Here is a 15,710-nt window from a genome sequence, read left to right on the forward strand (position 1 = left end):
GTCTTTGCTCTGTGTCTTTGGCCATTTTCTGTTGCTACAACTGAATACCTGAGTCTGGGTAATTTATAAAGAAAGAAATTTATTTAACTTTTGATTCTGGAGGCTGGGAAGTCTAAGACTGAGCAGCTGCATCTGGCTGACTTCTGGTGAGGGTCTCATGCTGCCTCATAACATGGTAGAGAAGCAGAAAGGGAAGCTGGTGCATGCCAGGAGAGCAAAGAGGTCAGCCTCACTTTATAACAACTCACTAGCATAAGAACTAATCCATCCTGTGAGGGAAAGAACTCCCTCCCTCCCTGGAGACTGCATTAAACCCTTCACAGAGGCAGATCTTTTATGACCCAAATGAGGGATGGTTCACCACCTCTCAACACCACTTCACTGGCAATTAAATTTCAACATGATGCGTTTTGGCATTGCAAACCACGTCTAAACCATAGCACTCTGGAAATTCTGATTTGTTGGGTTTGGGTGAGAACGAGCCACTTAAATGATTCTCAAATACTGCCAGGCCTTTTCTTCCCTATAAATAATAATATTTAGTTGTATCAGACATTTTAACATTCTAAATTAGTCAGATTTCAAACCTTCAGACATGGAGGTTACAGTGTGCCAAATGCTATGTTTATTTTCCGTACCATTCTAGTAGTAGAATTATGATCTGGGTATAGTACTTCCATAAGAATTTGTCTTAAGCCAAATGAAATGTGGAGGTTACTTCATACCATGTTTTGCTCTGCTAATCAAGGAAGTATGTACAATAGTTACAAAGTAACTTACAGTCTGACCTCTAATTTTAAATAACTAGATCTTAACCATACTAATCCACTAGATCCTAGTATAGTTTTGGCTTATGAGATACTAAATTATACTTTAAAGTATTGAAGAAGTTAACGTATTTACATGCATGTAATACACGTACACTTTTTACATCTGCTGTTTTGAATTTGAATGAGGCAAATGTTTCTTAGATCTAAATCTGTTGGCAGAAAGTTTTGAAATTTGGGAAGGAGATATTTCTGGCAGCTATTGAGTAGACTTCATGTTTATAAAATATATTATACATGAAATGTGTTATACTTGATTTTTAAGGGAGCGCTTGTGAGTGCCTTGGCTGATGACACCTTACACTTATGGAATTTACGTCAGAAGAGGCCTGCCATACTACATTCGCTTAAATTTTGCAGAGAAAGGTAAGAATTCTCCCAGTTATCTTATGTATAGGATATTTACTATTATATTTTCTTGAATTTCAGTCTTTGATTTTTTGTGTGTGATGGACCTTATGCACAATCTAAAAACTGATTCAGAAGCTTCAAAGGATATACAATAAAAGCAAGATTCCTTCTTTTTTAGATCCATCTTACTTTCTTCAGCAACCACATAAATTTCTTTTGTGTCCTTCTGGAAGGATTTACAGTGTATGTATAAAAGAAAAAATCTCTGTATAGCTCCCCTGCTTTTTTTTGCATAAAAGGGAAGCTATTACATATTCTTCCTGTAACTTGTATTTACTTAACATATCCCATAGATTGTCTCATATCAGCACATTTAAATCTTCCTGAATCATTTTCATAACTACATAATATTCTGTTCTATATAAGTGCCATAATTTATTCAGCCATTCCTCATCAGTGGACACATAATCATTTTCAGTCTGCTGTTCATTTTACTCTGTTGTGATGTTATGTTACATATGTCTTTGTCTACATATACAAGTATATCCATAAGATAAATTTGTAGAAGTAGGTTAGCTTGGTCATAGAAATCTCTTCTAATATGACTTGTGAATTTGGGGCTTTGATTGGAAAAACTTTTTCACCCCAATTTGATTAATCATCATCCCCTATATGTTTTTGTGGTACTCTTTTTTTTTTTTTTCTGAGACCTGGTCTTGCTCTGTCGCCCAGGCTGGAGTGCAGTGGCATGATCTGGGCTCACTGCAACCTCTGCCCCCCAGGTTCAAGTGATTCTCATGCCTCAGCCTCCTGAGTATCTGGGACTATAGCATGCACCACAACACCTGGCTAATTTTTGTATTTTTAGTAGAGACGGGGTTTCGCCATGTTGGCCAGGCTGGTCTCGAACTCCTGACCTCAAGTGATCTGCCCGCCTCAGCCTCCCAAAGAGCTGGGATTACAGGCATGAGCCACCAAGCCTGGCCTTTGTAGTACTCTTAAAGTTTTATTTTTTATACTTAATCTTTGATTTATATGGAACTTATTTTGGCACGAAATATGAGTAAGGATATAGTCCCTTCCCTCAATAGTTTTGAGAGACATATATTGTTTATCTTGTATACATGTGTAGTTGTATATATGTATGTATATAATATTTATGTAGTTAGCATTAAAAGCACAATCTTTTTTAATATATATTTTGAGGAAATTTTTAAAATTTTGAATCTTATAGGAATACCAAAATGGAAGTACTTGATTCTTTTATTTTAATTTCTAAGGAAAAGTTGATTTGTTTTCTCAAGTGGCTACTTTTTTCCAGTCAAGTTTTAGTTTTTAATGTCTAAAATTTTGGTTAAAACCTGTTGACAATAAAGGTGGAAGAAGAGAATGTGAGAACAGTATAGTTATAACAACTGTAATAACAGTAGAGGTAAGAAGTGTGAACTTAAAGTAGAGGAAGGAAACCTGTGAGCTCTAGGGTTTTATCTTAGATTGTCTTACTTGATTCTCATGACATTTCATGGAATTAGTGAGAAACGTGGTTTGGGAGAAACGAAACTTGGAATAAGGCAAAGAGTAAAAAGCAAGCATAGAGACTAGAGAGTTGGGAGATGTAAGGAAAGATAGGTATAATCACAGCTAAGTCATGATGAGGTAACTGGTGACTTTTTTGACATAGTAGGTACTTAGTAAGTATTTGATTGTTAAACAGAAAATGGGATATCTTGAAGTTTGTAGTTGTAGTCTTAGGTCTGTCTCTCTATTTCTAACTCTTACTGTATTATGATACCCAAAACAGGGAACCATATCACATTTCTTTGATTTTAACTTGCACAGTTTTTAAATTAACAGACTTTATTTTTAGAACAATTTTAGATTTATAGAATAATTGAGCAGATACTACAGAGAATTTCCATATACCTCATATACCACCCTCATTCCAACTCAATCTCCCCATTCATGGTGTTCTCTGATATTAACATGCATTAGTGTGGTAAGTTTGTTACAGTTAATGAACGAAAATTGATACATTGTTGTTAACTAATGTTCATAACATAATAAGGTTCACTATTTGTGTTGAACAATTCTATGTATTTTGACAAATGCGTAATGTCATGTATCTACCATTACAGTATCATGTGGAATAGTTTCACTGACCGAAAAACCAATATGTGTCACCTGTTTATCCATACCCCTGTCAGCCACTGATCTGTTTCCTGTCTCTGTAGTTTTTGCTTTTTCCAAAATGTCATATATATAGCCATGTGTTGCATAACGATGTTACACTCAGTGACAATTGTATATATGATGGTGGTCCCAAAAGATTATAATGGAGCTGAAATACTCCTATAGATTAGGGATGTTATAGCTGTCATAACATCATAGCATCTTATAGATTAGAGATGTTATAGCTGTCATAACATCATAGCATCTTATAGATTAGGGATGTTATAGCTGTCATAACATCATAGCATCTTATAGATTAGGGATGTTATAGCTGTCATAACATCATAGCATCTTAGTGCAATACATTATTCACATGTTTGTAGTAATACTAGTATAAACTAACCTATTGTGCTACCAGTTGTCTAAAAGTATAGCACATATAATTGTGTACAGTACATAATATTTGATAATGATAACAAATGACTGTTACTGTCATATATTTATTAGAATACACATTTTATTATTTTAGAGTTTATTCCTTCTACTTATTTAAGAAAAACAGCCTCAGGCAGGTCCTTCAGGAAATATTCCAGAAGGCATTGTTATCATAGGAGATGATCACTCAGTGTGTGTTACTGTCCCTGAAGACCTTCTAGTGGGACAAGATCTAGAGGTGGAAGACAGTGAGATTGATGATCCTGATCCTGTGTAGGCCTAGGCTAATGTGTGTGACTGTGTCTTAGTTTTAAAAAAAAAAAAAAAGTTTAAAAAGTAAAAGTAAAAATAAATTAAACATATAAAAAAGCTTATGGAATAAGGATATAAAGAAAAAATTATATAGTTTTACATTGTGTTTGTAAGTGAAGGGTTATTATAAAAGAGTCAAAAAGTGAAAACATTTAAAATGTTTATGACGTAAAGTTTACAGTAAGCTAAGGTTAATTTATTATTGAAGAAAGAAATTTTTAAAAATAAATTTAGCCTGGACTAAGAGTCCAGTGTTTATAAAGTCTACACTAGGGTACAGTAATGTCCTAGGTCTTCACAGTCACTTACCACTGACAGACTCACCCAGAGCAACTTCCATTCCTGCAAGCTCCGTTCATGATAACTGCCCTCTATAGGTGTACTATTTTTTAATCTTTTATACTACATTTTTACTGTACCTTTTTATGTTTAGATACACAGATACTTAACCTTTGTGTTACAGTTGCCTACAGTATTCAATATGTAATACGCAGTAACATGCTTTCCAGGTTTGTAGCTTAGGAGCAATAGGCTGTACTATACAGCCTAGGTGTGTAGTAGGCTATACCATCTAGGTTCGTGTAAGTATGCTCTATGATGTTCACACAATGTTGAACTCACCTGCTGATGGGCTTCTTAGAACATAGCCATCTGTAAGTGACACATGACTGTCATTGGAATCATACATATAGCATGTAGCTTTTTTAGACTTCTTTCACTGAGCAATATGCATTTAATGTTACTAGTCTTCTGGCTTGCTAAGTCATTTCTTTTTATCAGTAAATTTCTTTTACAAATGTAACAGTTTGTATTTCCATTCACCTATTGAAGGATATCTTGGTTTTTGCTTTTTTTGGCCATTATGAATAAAGCTGTTATAAATATTCACATGCAGTTTTTTTGTGGATGTACATTTTCAACACAGTTGGATACCTGGGAGTGCTATTGCTGGATCATATGCTAGACTATCTTTGGCTTTGTGAAAACTGCCAAGCTGTCTTCCTTAATGGCTATACTATTTTGCATTCCCACTAGCATTGAATAAGAGGTCCTTTTGCTCCATATCCTTACTAACATTTGGTATTGCCAGTTAATGGACGTTAGCCATTTTAATACCTGTGTAGTGTTACCTCATTGTTATTTTAATTTGCGGTTCCCTAGTGACACATGATATGGGTTATCTTTTCATATTCTTCTTTGTTTCATGTGCTGCTTTGATGAGTTGTCCAGATTTTTTGCCCATTTTTAAGTTGGGCTGTTTGTTTCTTACTGATAAATTTTAATAATTCTTTGTATGTTTTGGGTACCTTTATCAGATAGGTATTTTACAAATATTTTGTCCTAGTCTGTGACTTTTATTTTTATTCTCTGCACAGTGTCTTTGTAGAGCAGATATTTCCTATTTAATTAAGTTTAGCTTATTAATTTTTCTTTCAGAGATTACACTTTTGGGGTTTATATCTAAAACATCCATCACCAAACTCAAGATCACTACCTAGATTGCCTCCTGTGTTATGTTGTAGAAGTTTTAGAGTTTTGCATTTTACATTTAGATCTGTGATCCATGTTGATTTAAATTTTTTGAAATATATATAAGTTCTATGTCTAGAGTTTTTTTTCTTTTTTTAATTCTTTTTTTTGCTTATGATTGTCCAGTTGTTCCAGAACCATTTGTTGAAAAGATTATCTGTTTCCCATTGAATTGTATTTGCTCCTTTATCAGGGAGCAATTTACTGTATTTAAGTAGATCTATTTCTGGTTGTCTATTCTGTTTAAGATAGATCAATTAATCTATTTGTCTGTTATTTTTCTAATACAATCAGCTTTTTGTATCTATGGGATCCACATCTGGATTCAACCATCAGCAGACTGAAAATATTTGGGGGAAAAATAAAAAGATAATAAAAATAAAAATACAAGATAGCAATCATTTACTTAGCATTTAAATTGTATTAAGTATTAGAAGTAATCAAGAGATTATTTAATGTGCATAGGATGTGCATAGGCTATATGCAAATACGATACAGTTTTATATAAGGGACTTGAGCATTATTGGATTTTGGTATCAGAGGGGTTTCTGTAACCAATCCCTCACAGATATGGAGGGATGACTGATTGACTTGATTACTGTAGTTTTGTAGCAAGTTGAAGATGGGTAGTGTCAGCCCTCCGACTTTGGTCTTCTTGTTCAGTATTATGTTGGCTATTACGGGTTTTATGCCTTTTCATATAAACTTTAGAATCAGTTTGTCAATATCCACACAATAGCTTGCTAGGATTTTGATTTGGCTTTTTGAAAGAGGACTATTGACTGTAGCATTTACTTATTTTGTACTTTTAACATTTTTACGTCTCCGAAATTGCAATGTTTTTATTAATGAATGGTGTCTTATAATTAATTGAAAATGTTTTGTGAATTTTGTTAATACTAAATAAAAATAATGGCATGCCCTAGCGTCAATAGCATTTAGAATCAGTGAAATACAGTTTTTGGTGATTTTGAAATTACATGAAATGACAGTTTGTAATTAATTTGAAGCATTTGTAGTGGACTTTCTGATTATGAGTTTTATGACCTACCAGTGGTTTTCCTTCAACACTTTGAAGTTGTTATTCCACGATTTTCTGCCCTCCTTTTTTGTTTCTATGAGAAATTAGTGGTTGTTTGAATTTTTACTCCCCTGTGTGAAATGAGTCCTATTTCTCTGGCTGCTTTCAAAATTATCACTTTATCTTTGGTTTTTAGCACTTTGGCATTGATATGCCTAGCTATTATTTTCTTCATATTTATACTGCTTGAGGTTTGCTGAGCTGCTTTTTTTTTTTTTTTTTTTTTTTTAGAGGGAATCTTGGTCTGTTGCCCAGGCTGGAGTTCAGTGGCGTGATCTTGGCTCACTGCAATCTCTGCCTCCTGGGTTCAAGCGATTCTTCTGAGCCTCACGAGTAGCTGGGATTACAGGTGCCCACCACCAAGCCCGGCTAATTTTTCTTTGAATTGAAGGCACTGTCTCCAAATACTGTCACATTCTTGGGTACTGGGGGGTTAGGACTTCACCATATAATTGAGGAGGGCAGCACACAATTCAGCTGTAAAACAAAAGTAGGCTAAAACCAACCAGGATGCAAGATGGAATTTTTTTAAATCAGCAAACAAAAGAAAAAGTAAATATACTTTGAAAGTTGAGGAAAAACATACAATTTTAAATATCCTCCTTAATTAGCATGTAGCTTATTATGCCAATTGCCAGACTCAGCTCAGGGATTTGTCTGCTGTATAATTTTTATCACAGGGACAAATTTGCCGATAGTAGTAGCTACAGCATCTCAATCTTCTGTAGCCTGAAAGGAATTGGTAGCAACAGTATGTCATAGTAGAATACTAGGGGTGTGTACTTTACTTACCTGTCCTCTGTTACAGATTGAATTGTTTTCCCAGAAAAGATAATCTTAAAGTCCTAACCCCTGGTACCTATGAATGTGACCTTAGTTAGAAATGGAGTCTTGGCAGATGTAGTCAAGTTAATATGAGATTATTAAGGTGGAGACTAATCTGGTGTCCACATAAGAAGAGTTGAAGATACACAGACACAGAAACTCAGACAATACCATGTGATGAAGGAGGTAGAAACTGAGTGATGCAGCTATAAGCCAAGGAATGCAAAGGATAGCTGCCGATACCAGCAACTAGGGGAGAGGCATGCAACAGATTCTCCCCTAGAGCCATCAGAGAGGGCAGCGCCCTGCTGACACCTTCATCTCAGACTTCTGGCCTCCAGAACTGTGAGAGAATCAATTCCTGTTGTTTTAAGCCACCCATGCTGTGGTGATTTGTTTTGGCAGCTCTAGGAAACACATATCACCTTTGTTCCTCTTCCTTGATATTGGTGAGCCTTGTTAATATGTGCCATTAGGTTTATACATGCAAAAGAGATGTTCTTTGCTCCCATAGAAACTGAGAATTTGATAAGTAAGACAGATAAGTTGCAGTATCAGAATATGTTCCATTTAGCTTAATACCTTGTTTTTTCCTTTAAAGAAGTTTAAATAGGAGCAAGTCGTGGGTTGATCAGCAGCTACAACTCTCTTCTAGTCTTTTTTCATCACCATGAGTTAGTATAGTATGACCAGTATTCTCAATCATGTTAAGTTTTTGCATAAGTTTATAACTAATGATATGTGAAGCTTTTTAAGACTGAAAACTGAATTATATGTGGACTTTTTTAGGACCTAATGTTATTGTTTAATATTTTTACCTCTTGATTTATATAATGCTTTATTGTTTGTAAAACCTTTTCACATAAATAATTATTCTCAGGGGTTAAGAAAATTTCCCTTAATGAAATTTTATAGAATATTTTCCCCTGTAAGTACATTAAACACCAGAAAAGCTGAATCTTGATATTAAAGTTAATATATTTCTAAAGACGTATGTTTTTTCTTTATTCTAATAGTCTGATTTACAGTTTCTATATGACTTTTATTATTTGATGATAGATGCATCATTGTTTAGAGAATAACATAAGTGTGCTTTCATTCTAAAGTAATGAAAGGGAAGGAAAATTATTATATGAAATACATTAATAATCAAGACTTTATAACTTAAATATCAAGGGAGAATTCATGTTCACAGTCCTCTCATGGAAAAAAACAACCGTATGACAAATGAAGTTAATCTGTTCAGATTCCAGCACAGCGAGGGGAGATTTGGTGCTTATAATGTACTGTAGCAATGAGTTGACACCCTAGCATCAGATTTTCCCAGTATCGTAAGTAAATGTATATAGAAACGAAAACTCATTTATTACATTATACTCTTATTATTTTATTACAGTACTGTGCTTTGCATATTTATAAAGCTTGTAATTTGCTTAGTATGCACATTAGTGCATATATTAGTAAGACATAACCTTAGACAGTTATAAAAGAGTGTTTGGCTGAGTACCAGACCCCAAAATATCTATACAGGTCTTAAGATTTTGAATTAACTAATTGCACATGTTGAACAAGGAAAAAATTAATCACAGTATTGAAACAAAGACACAGAATTATAGTTTCTCTGCTAATCGCATAACATTATCAAAATTCGTTTCTTTGAAAACAGCTTAATGAAAAGTGTACAGGCATTAGAAATGAGAGTGATGTGATGGGATGAAATTAAGGACTAGAACATAGGCATGAAATGATGCCCAATCCTGTTGGGAAGATGGGGGATCTGCTACTCTGGACCTAATTCTGATCTACAAAGACAACTGGTTGGTGATATGGAAATGATGAGTCATCTTGGAAATTGTAGGTATAGAGTATCACATATTCAAGCACAATTTTAAAATAAAAGAAAAATTCTCTTAATATTCAGAGGAAAGACAGTTATGATTTGATAAACTTGAAACTGTTAAAGAAAGGATGTTCAGGCAGTATTGGATCACCTCCTAGAATAAAATTATCCATAGTAAGGAGTCTCTTTGAATACCTCTACCCTTTTCCTTGTCAGAATTTCTCCTACAATTCTGCATCTTTTGTTTCAATATTGTGATTAATTTTGTCCTTGTTTAACGTGTGCAGTTAGTTAATTTAAAATCTTTGTTACACTTATATAGATTTTTAGGGGCTGGTACTCAGCAAAACACTCTTTTACAACTTCCTGACAGGAATTTCTTCTGTCAAGGAATAGGGGAAATATATTTAAAGAGACTGTTCTAGTTCCAAAAGGGCCTTACAATGTGTTAAAGGTATAAAAAGATTATATAAAAAGACATTAAAAGATTATATGGAAGGAGGAGGTATATAACCAAAGGCGAATATAAGAAGAGTACTTAGCTCAGCTGGGTGCGGTGGGGTGGCTTAAGCCTGTAATCCCAGCAATTTGGGAGGCCAAGGTGGGCAGATCACCTGAGGTCAGGAGTTCAAGACGAGCCTGGCCAACATGGCGAAACCCTGTCTCTACTAAAAATACAAAAATTAGCCAGGCGTGGAAGTGGGCACCTGTATTCCCAGCTACTCGGGAGCCTGAGGCAGGGAGAATTGCTTGAACCCAGGAAGCAGAGGTTGCAGTGAGGTGAGATCACACCACTGCGCTCCAAACTGGGCGGCAAAGTGAGACTCCATCTCAAAAAAAAAAAAAAAAAACTACTTAGCTCTGCCAATGAACTGATAAACAGAATGAGCTTTTTATTAATGCATGAATAGCTTACATTAAAGTAGAGATGCAAATGTATATTACAATATGAGTGAATGTGATTTTAGAGGTTTATATGAAAACATATGATGAAATAATTGAGTTTTTTTTTAAAGAAGACAAAAGTCAGTCATCAGGAAAATGCAGACTAAAACAACAACTACTCATCAGAATGGCTAAAATGTTAGTTAGATTGTGATGCAGCTGGAGCTTCTCATAACTTACTGATGTGAATTTTAAGTGTTGCAGTCATTTCGGAAGTTTCTTGGGCAGTATTCACATCCTCCATGACCCAGCAATTTTATTCCTAAACAGGTACCTGTGGTAGGCAGAAGTCTAAGATGGGCCCCAAGGTATCTACCCTTTGATGTACACATAGCTATTTCTTGTTAATTAATCAAACACTTAGCTTGGTGAAGACATTTTGCCAGATGTATTTCAGTTCCCAAATTAGTTGACCTTAAAATACGAAGATGATCCTCAGTAGGCCTAACAAGCAGGTGAGCACTTAAGAGACTGGATTTTTCCTGTCAAAAGGCTCAGAGTGTGAGAAGGATCCAGTGGACAGGAGATTGTTTCTTGCTGGCTTCGAAGATGGAGGGGGCCATGTAGGAATACCAGTGGCCTCTAGGAGCATACCCCCTGACAGACAGCAGGGAGACAGGGATTCAGACCTACAGCCACAGATGCTGAATTCAGCTAGCAACCTGAATGAGCTTGGGAGCAGATTCTTTCCCAGCACTTCCAGAAAGGGAGGCAGGAATGCAGCATGGCTGAAATGTGGATTTTAGCCTGTAAGTCCTTGAGCAGAGACCCTATTAAGTGACTGCACCTCTAACCTACAGAAATAATAAATGGGTATTCTTTTAAGCCATTAAATTTGTGATACCTTGTTACAAAATCAGTAAAAAAAAAAAATACACCTGGTATTAGTTTGGTACCTGAAAGTGGAATACTACTGTAACAAATATCTGAATATGTGGAAGTCACTTTGGAACTTCGCAGTGAGTAGAACCTGGAAGAATTTCGAGGAGTATGATAGAAAAGCACATACTGCCCAAAACAAGCTGTTTGTAGGACTCAGTACTTAAGTCTCTTGCTAGGGAGAGGCTGGAGAAAGTGGTTCCTTGTTGTATAGTGGGAGAACAGAATGCTTAGCAGAATTGTCCCCTACACAATAGGTAAGTGATTAACTTGGATATTTAGCTGAAGAGATTTCCAAGGAAAGTGTTGAGGGTGCGAGCCGATTCTTCTTGCTGCTTTATAATAAAATGCAAGAGGAGAGAGAAATTGAGTGAAGAAGTTTTAAAGGAACCAGGACTTGACAATTTGGGGAATTCCTACTGTGATGCAGCTGGCAAAAGAGAGAGATTGTTTCTAAAAGTGTGGCACAGAGAAAAATGTGAGAGTGCAGCTGTATAATTTTTTACTAAAAACCCGTTAAAGATCAAAAGGTCAGAGCATTCAGTCACACAGAGGGCCCTTTTTAAGAGATTAACAGTGTACCCCACAGATCTTTTCAAGAAACCAGAGCATCTAGAAAGTTTTTAAAAGTATCATCCCACAGGCATTTCAGCAGGAGCCAAAATGGAGAAAGGGTTCTCTGAAAAAAGATTTGTGAGTGTGACTTTTGTCTAAAGGAGTAAAACCCAATACAATTTATTTAAGACCTGCAAGTTTCTTGAGAAAATTGCATCAGTAGAACATTGCCAGCTTGGACTGAAAAGGACAGAGAGAGTACAAAATAAAAGGAAGCTGTAGCCAGAAGCAGGCTGATAAAAGAACTCAGCTGCAAATAAGTGGTAACTTACATGAAAAAGGAACAATGATTAAGAGAGTAGAGCTTAGACCCACAGAGAATTAGTCCCTGGTCTTGAATCCTAAGAAAAATCCACCATTTGCCACAACGAATTTCAAGACTGTTATGGACTAATAAACTCCTTTTTACCTTCCACTTTCTCTCAATTTCAATGGGAATTTCTATACAGTCAGCCTTTCATATCTGTAGGTTGTGTATCCCTGGACTCAACCAACTATGGCTTGAAAATATTTGGGGAAAAATACAAAAAAAAATAGTATATTTGCATTGCACTTACATTGTATTGGCATTGTAAGTAATCTAGAAATGATTTAAAGTATATGGGAAGATTTGTGTAGGTTATATGCAAATATTATACCATTTTATATGAGGGACTTGAATATCTTTGGATTTTGGTATTCATGGGGCTCCTGGAACCAATCCCCCATGGATACCAAGGTAGAACAGTAACCAGTAACCTATATCCATCCCACCTCTGCATGCTGGGTGTGTTTGGGAGCAGATAATTTTTTTCTTTGGTTACTCTAGGACAAAGAAATTAATAGAAAAATTGTATCCTATTGTTGGATGTATCATGACAGTTCTGCTGTTTTATTGATATCTAATTTATTAATATCAATTTTTATATCTGTTCTTCTCCCTACTTTATTTTTAACTTCTTGTGTTTAAGATCAAAATTCATTTATTTGCTTAAGAATAAATGCTTTAGGAGAATCGCTTGAACCTGGGAGGCGGAGGTTGCAGCAAGCTGAGATCACATCACTGCACTCCAGCATGGGCAACAAGAGTGAAACCTTGTCTCCAAAAAAAAAAAAAAAAAAAAAAAAGAAGGCCGAATAGAATAGAAACAGCTCCAATCTGCAGCTCCCAGCAAGATCAACACAGAAGGGAGGTGATTTCTGCATTTCCAACGGAGGTACCCAGCTCATCTCATTGGGATTGGTTAGACAGTGGGTGCAGTCCACAGAGAGTGAGCCGAAGCAGGGTGTGGCGTTGCCTCACCCGGAAGCGGAAAGGGTCGGGAAACTCCCTCCCCTAGCCACGGGAAGCCATGAGGTATGGTGCCACGAGGGACGGTGCATTTCAGCCCAGATACTACGCTTTTCCCACAGTCTTCACAACCCACAGATCAGGAGATTCCTTTGGGTGCCTACGCCAACAGGGCCCTCCTGGGTTTCCAGCACAAAACTGGCCGGCCGTTTGGGCAGATACCGAGCTAGCTACAGGAGTTTTTTTTCATATCGCAGTGGCACCTGGAATGCCAGCAAGACAGAACCGTTCACTCCCCTGGAAAGGGGGCTGAAGCCAGGGAGCCAAGTGGTGTAGCTCAGCAGATCCCACCCCGACAGAGCCCAGCCAGACTGCCTCTCTAGATTTCTCCTCTCTGGGCAGGGCATCTCTGAAAGAAAGGCTGCAGCCCCAGTCAGTGGCTTATAGATGAAACTCCCATCTCCCTGCGACAGAGCACTTGGAGAAAGGGGCAGCTGTGGGCGCAGCTTCAGCAGACTTAAACGTTCCTGCCTGCCGGCTCTGAAGAGAGCAGCAGATCTCCCAGCACAGTGCTCAAGTTCTGCTAAGGGACAGACTGCTTCCTCAAGTGGATCCCTGACCCCCATGTATCCTTACTGGGAGACACCTCGCAGCAGGGGTCGACAGACACCTCATACAGGAGAGCTTCGGCTGGTGGGTGCCCCTTCTGGGATGAAGCATCCAGAGGAAGGAACAGGCAGCAATATTTGCTGTTCTTCAGCCTCTGCTGGTGATACCCAGGCAAACAGGGTCTGGAGTGGACCTCCAGCAAACTCCAGCAGACCTGCAGCCTGACTGTTAGAAGGAAAACTAACAAACAGAAAGGAATAGCATCAACATCAACAAAAAGGGCATCCACACAGAAACACCATCTTAAGATTACCAACATCAAAGACCAAAGGTAGATAAATCAACAAAGATAAGGAAAAACCAGCACAAAAAGGCTGAAAATTCAAAAACCAAAATGTCTCTTCTCCTCCAAAGGATCACAACTCCTTGCCAGCAAGGGAACAAAACTGGACAGAGAATGAGTTTGACGAATTGACAGAAGTAGGTTTCAGAAGGTGGGTAATAACAAACTTCTCAGAGCTAAAGGAGTGTGTTCTAACCCAATGCAAGGAAGCTAAGAACCTTGAAAAAAGGTTAGAGGAATTGCTAACTAGAATAACCAGTTTAGCGAAGAACATAAATGACCTGATAGAGCTGAAAAGCACAGCTTGAGAACTTGATAAAGCATACACAAGTATCAGTAGCCAAATTGATCAAGCAGAAGAAAGGATATCAGGGATTGAAGATCAACTTAAATAAAGCATGACGACAAGATTAGAGAAAAAAGAATGACAAGGAATGAACAAAGCCTCTAAGAAATGTGGGACTATATGAAAAGACCAAACCTATGTTTGATTGGTGTACCTAAAAGTGATGGGGAGAATGGAACCAAGTGGAAAAACACTCTTCAGGATATTAGCCAGAAGAACTTCCCCAACCTAGCAAGACAAGCCAACATTCAAATTCAGGAAATTCAGAGAACACCACGAAGATACTCCTCGAGAAGTGCAACCCCAAGACACACAATTGTCAGATTCACCAATAACAAGTTCTGAAATTGAGGCAGTAATTAATAGCCTACCAACCAAAGAAAGCCCAGGACCAAACGGATTCACAGCCGAATTCCACCAGAGGTACAAAGAGAAGCTAGTACTTTTCCTTCTGCAACTATTCCAAACAATAGAAAAAGAGGGACTCCTCTCTAACTCATTTTATGAGGCCAGCCATCACCCTGATACCACAACCTTTCAGAGACACAACAAAAAAAGAAGTTTTCAAGACAGCATGCCTGATGAAAATTGATGCAGAAATCCTCAATAAAATACTGGCAAACCGAATCCAGCAGCACATCAAAAAGCTTATCCACCATGATCAAATCGGCTTCATCCCTGGGATGCAAGGCCGATTCAACATACGCAAATCAATAAAAGTAATCCATCACATAAACAGAACCTATGAAAAAAACCACGATTATCTCAATAGATGCAGAGAAGGCCTTCAACAAAATTCAACACCCCTTCATGCTAAAAACTCTCAATAAACTAGGTGTCGATGGAACGTATCTCAAAATAATGGCTATTTATGAGAAACACATAGCTAACATCATACCGAATGGGCAAAAGCTGGAAGCATTCCCTTTGAAAACCGGTACAAGACAAGGATGCCCTCTCTCCCCACTCCTGTCCAACATAGTATTGGAAGTTCTGGCCGAGGCAGTCAGGCAAGAGAAAGAAATAAAGGATATTCAAACAGGAAGACAGGAAGTCAAATTGTCTCTGTAGACGACATGATTCTATATTTAGAAAACCCCATCGTCTCAGCCCAAAATCTCCTTAAGCTGATAAGCAACTTCAGCAAAGTTTCAGGATACAAAATCATTGTGCAAAAATCATAAGCATTCCTAGACAAATAGAGACAGAGAGCCAAATCATAAGTGAACTCCCATTCACCATAGCTACAAAGAGAATAAAATACCTAGGAATACAACTTACAAGGGATGTGAAAGACCTCTTCAAGGAGAACTACAAACCACTCCTCAAGGAA

At 37.1% G+C, this 15,710-nt stretch overlaps 1 protein-coding gene across 14 annotated transcripts in view; it reads left to right on the plus strand.

Annotated features, from left to right (window-relative positions):
- STXBP5 (syntaxin binding protein 5) overlaps positions 1-15,710 on the plus strand; it is a 186,057-nt gene that overhangs the window by 33,661 nt on the left and 136,686 nt on the right. For all 14 annotated transcript variants that reach the window (XR_007059202.1, XR_007059201.1, XR_007059203.1 and 11 more), the window contains exon 4: positions 1,093-1,193. Coding sequence is in view for 11 of the 14 variants with exons in the window: in XM_047418197.1 (XP_047274153.1) it covers positions 1,093-1,193 (101 nt within the window). In the remaining 3 variants the exon portion in view is untranslated. The remainder of the gene's footprint in view (positions 1-1,092; positions 1,194-15,710) is intronic.

Source organism: Homo sapiens, chromosome 6 (genome assembly GCF_000001405.40).
Source record: "Homo sapiens chromosome 6, GRCh38.p14 Primary Assembly".
Lineage (NCBI taxonomy): Eukaryota > Metazoa > Chordata > Mammalia > Primates > Hominidae > Homo > Homo sapiens.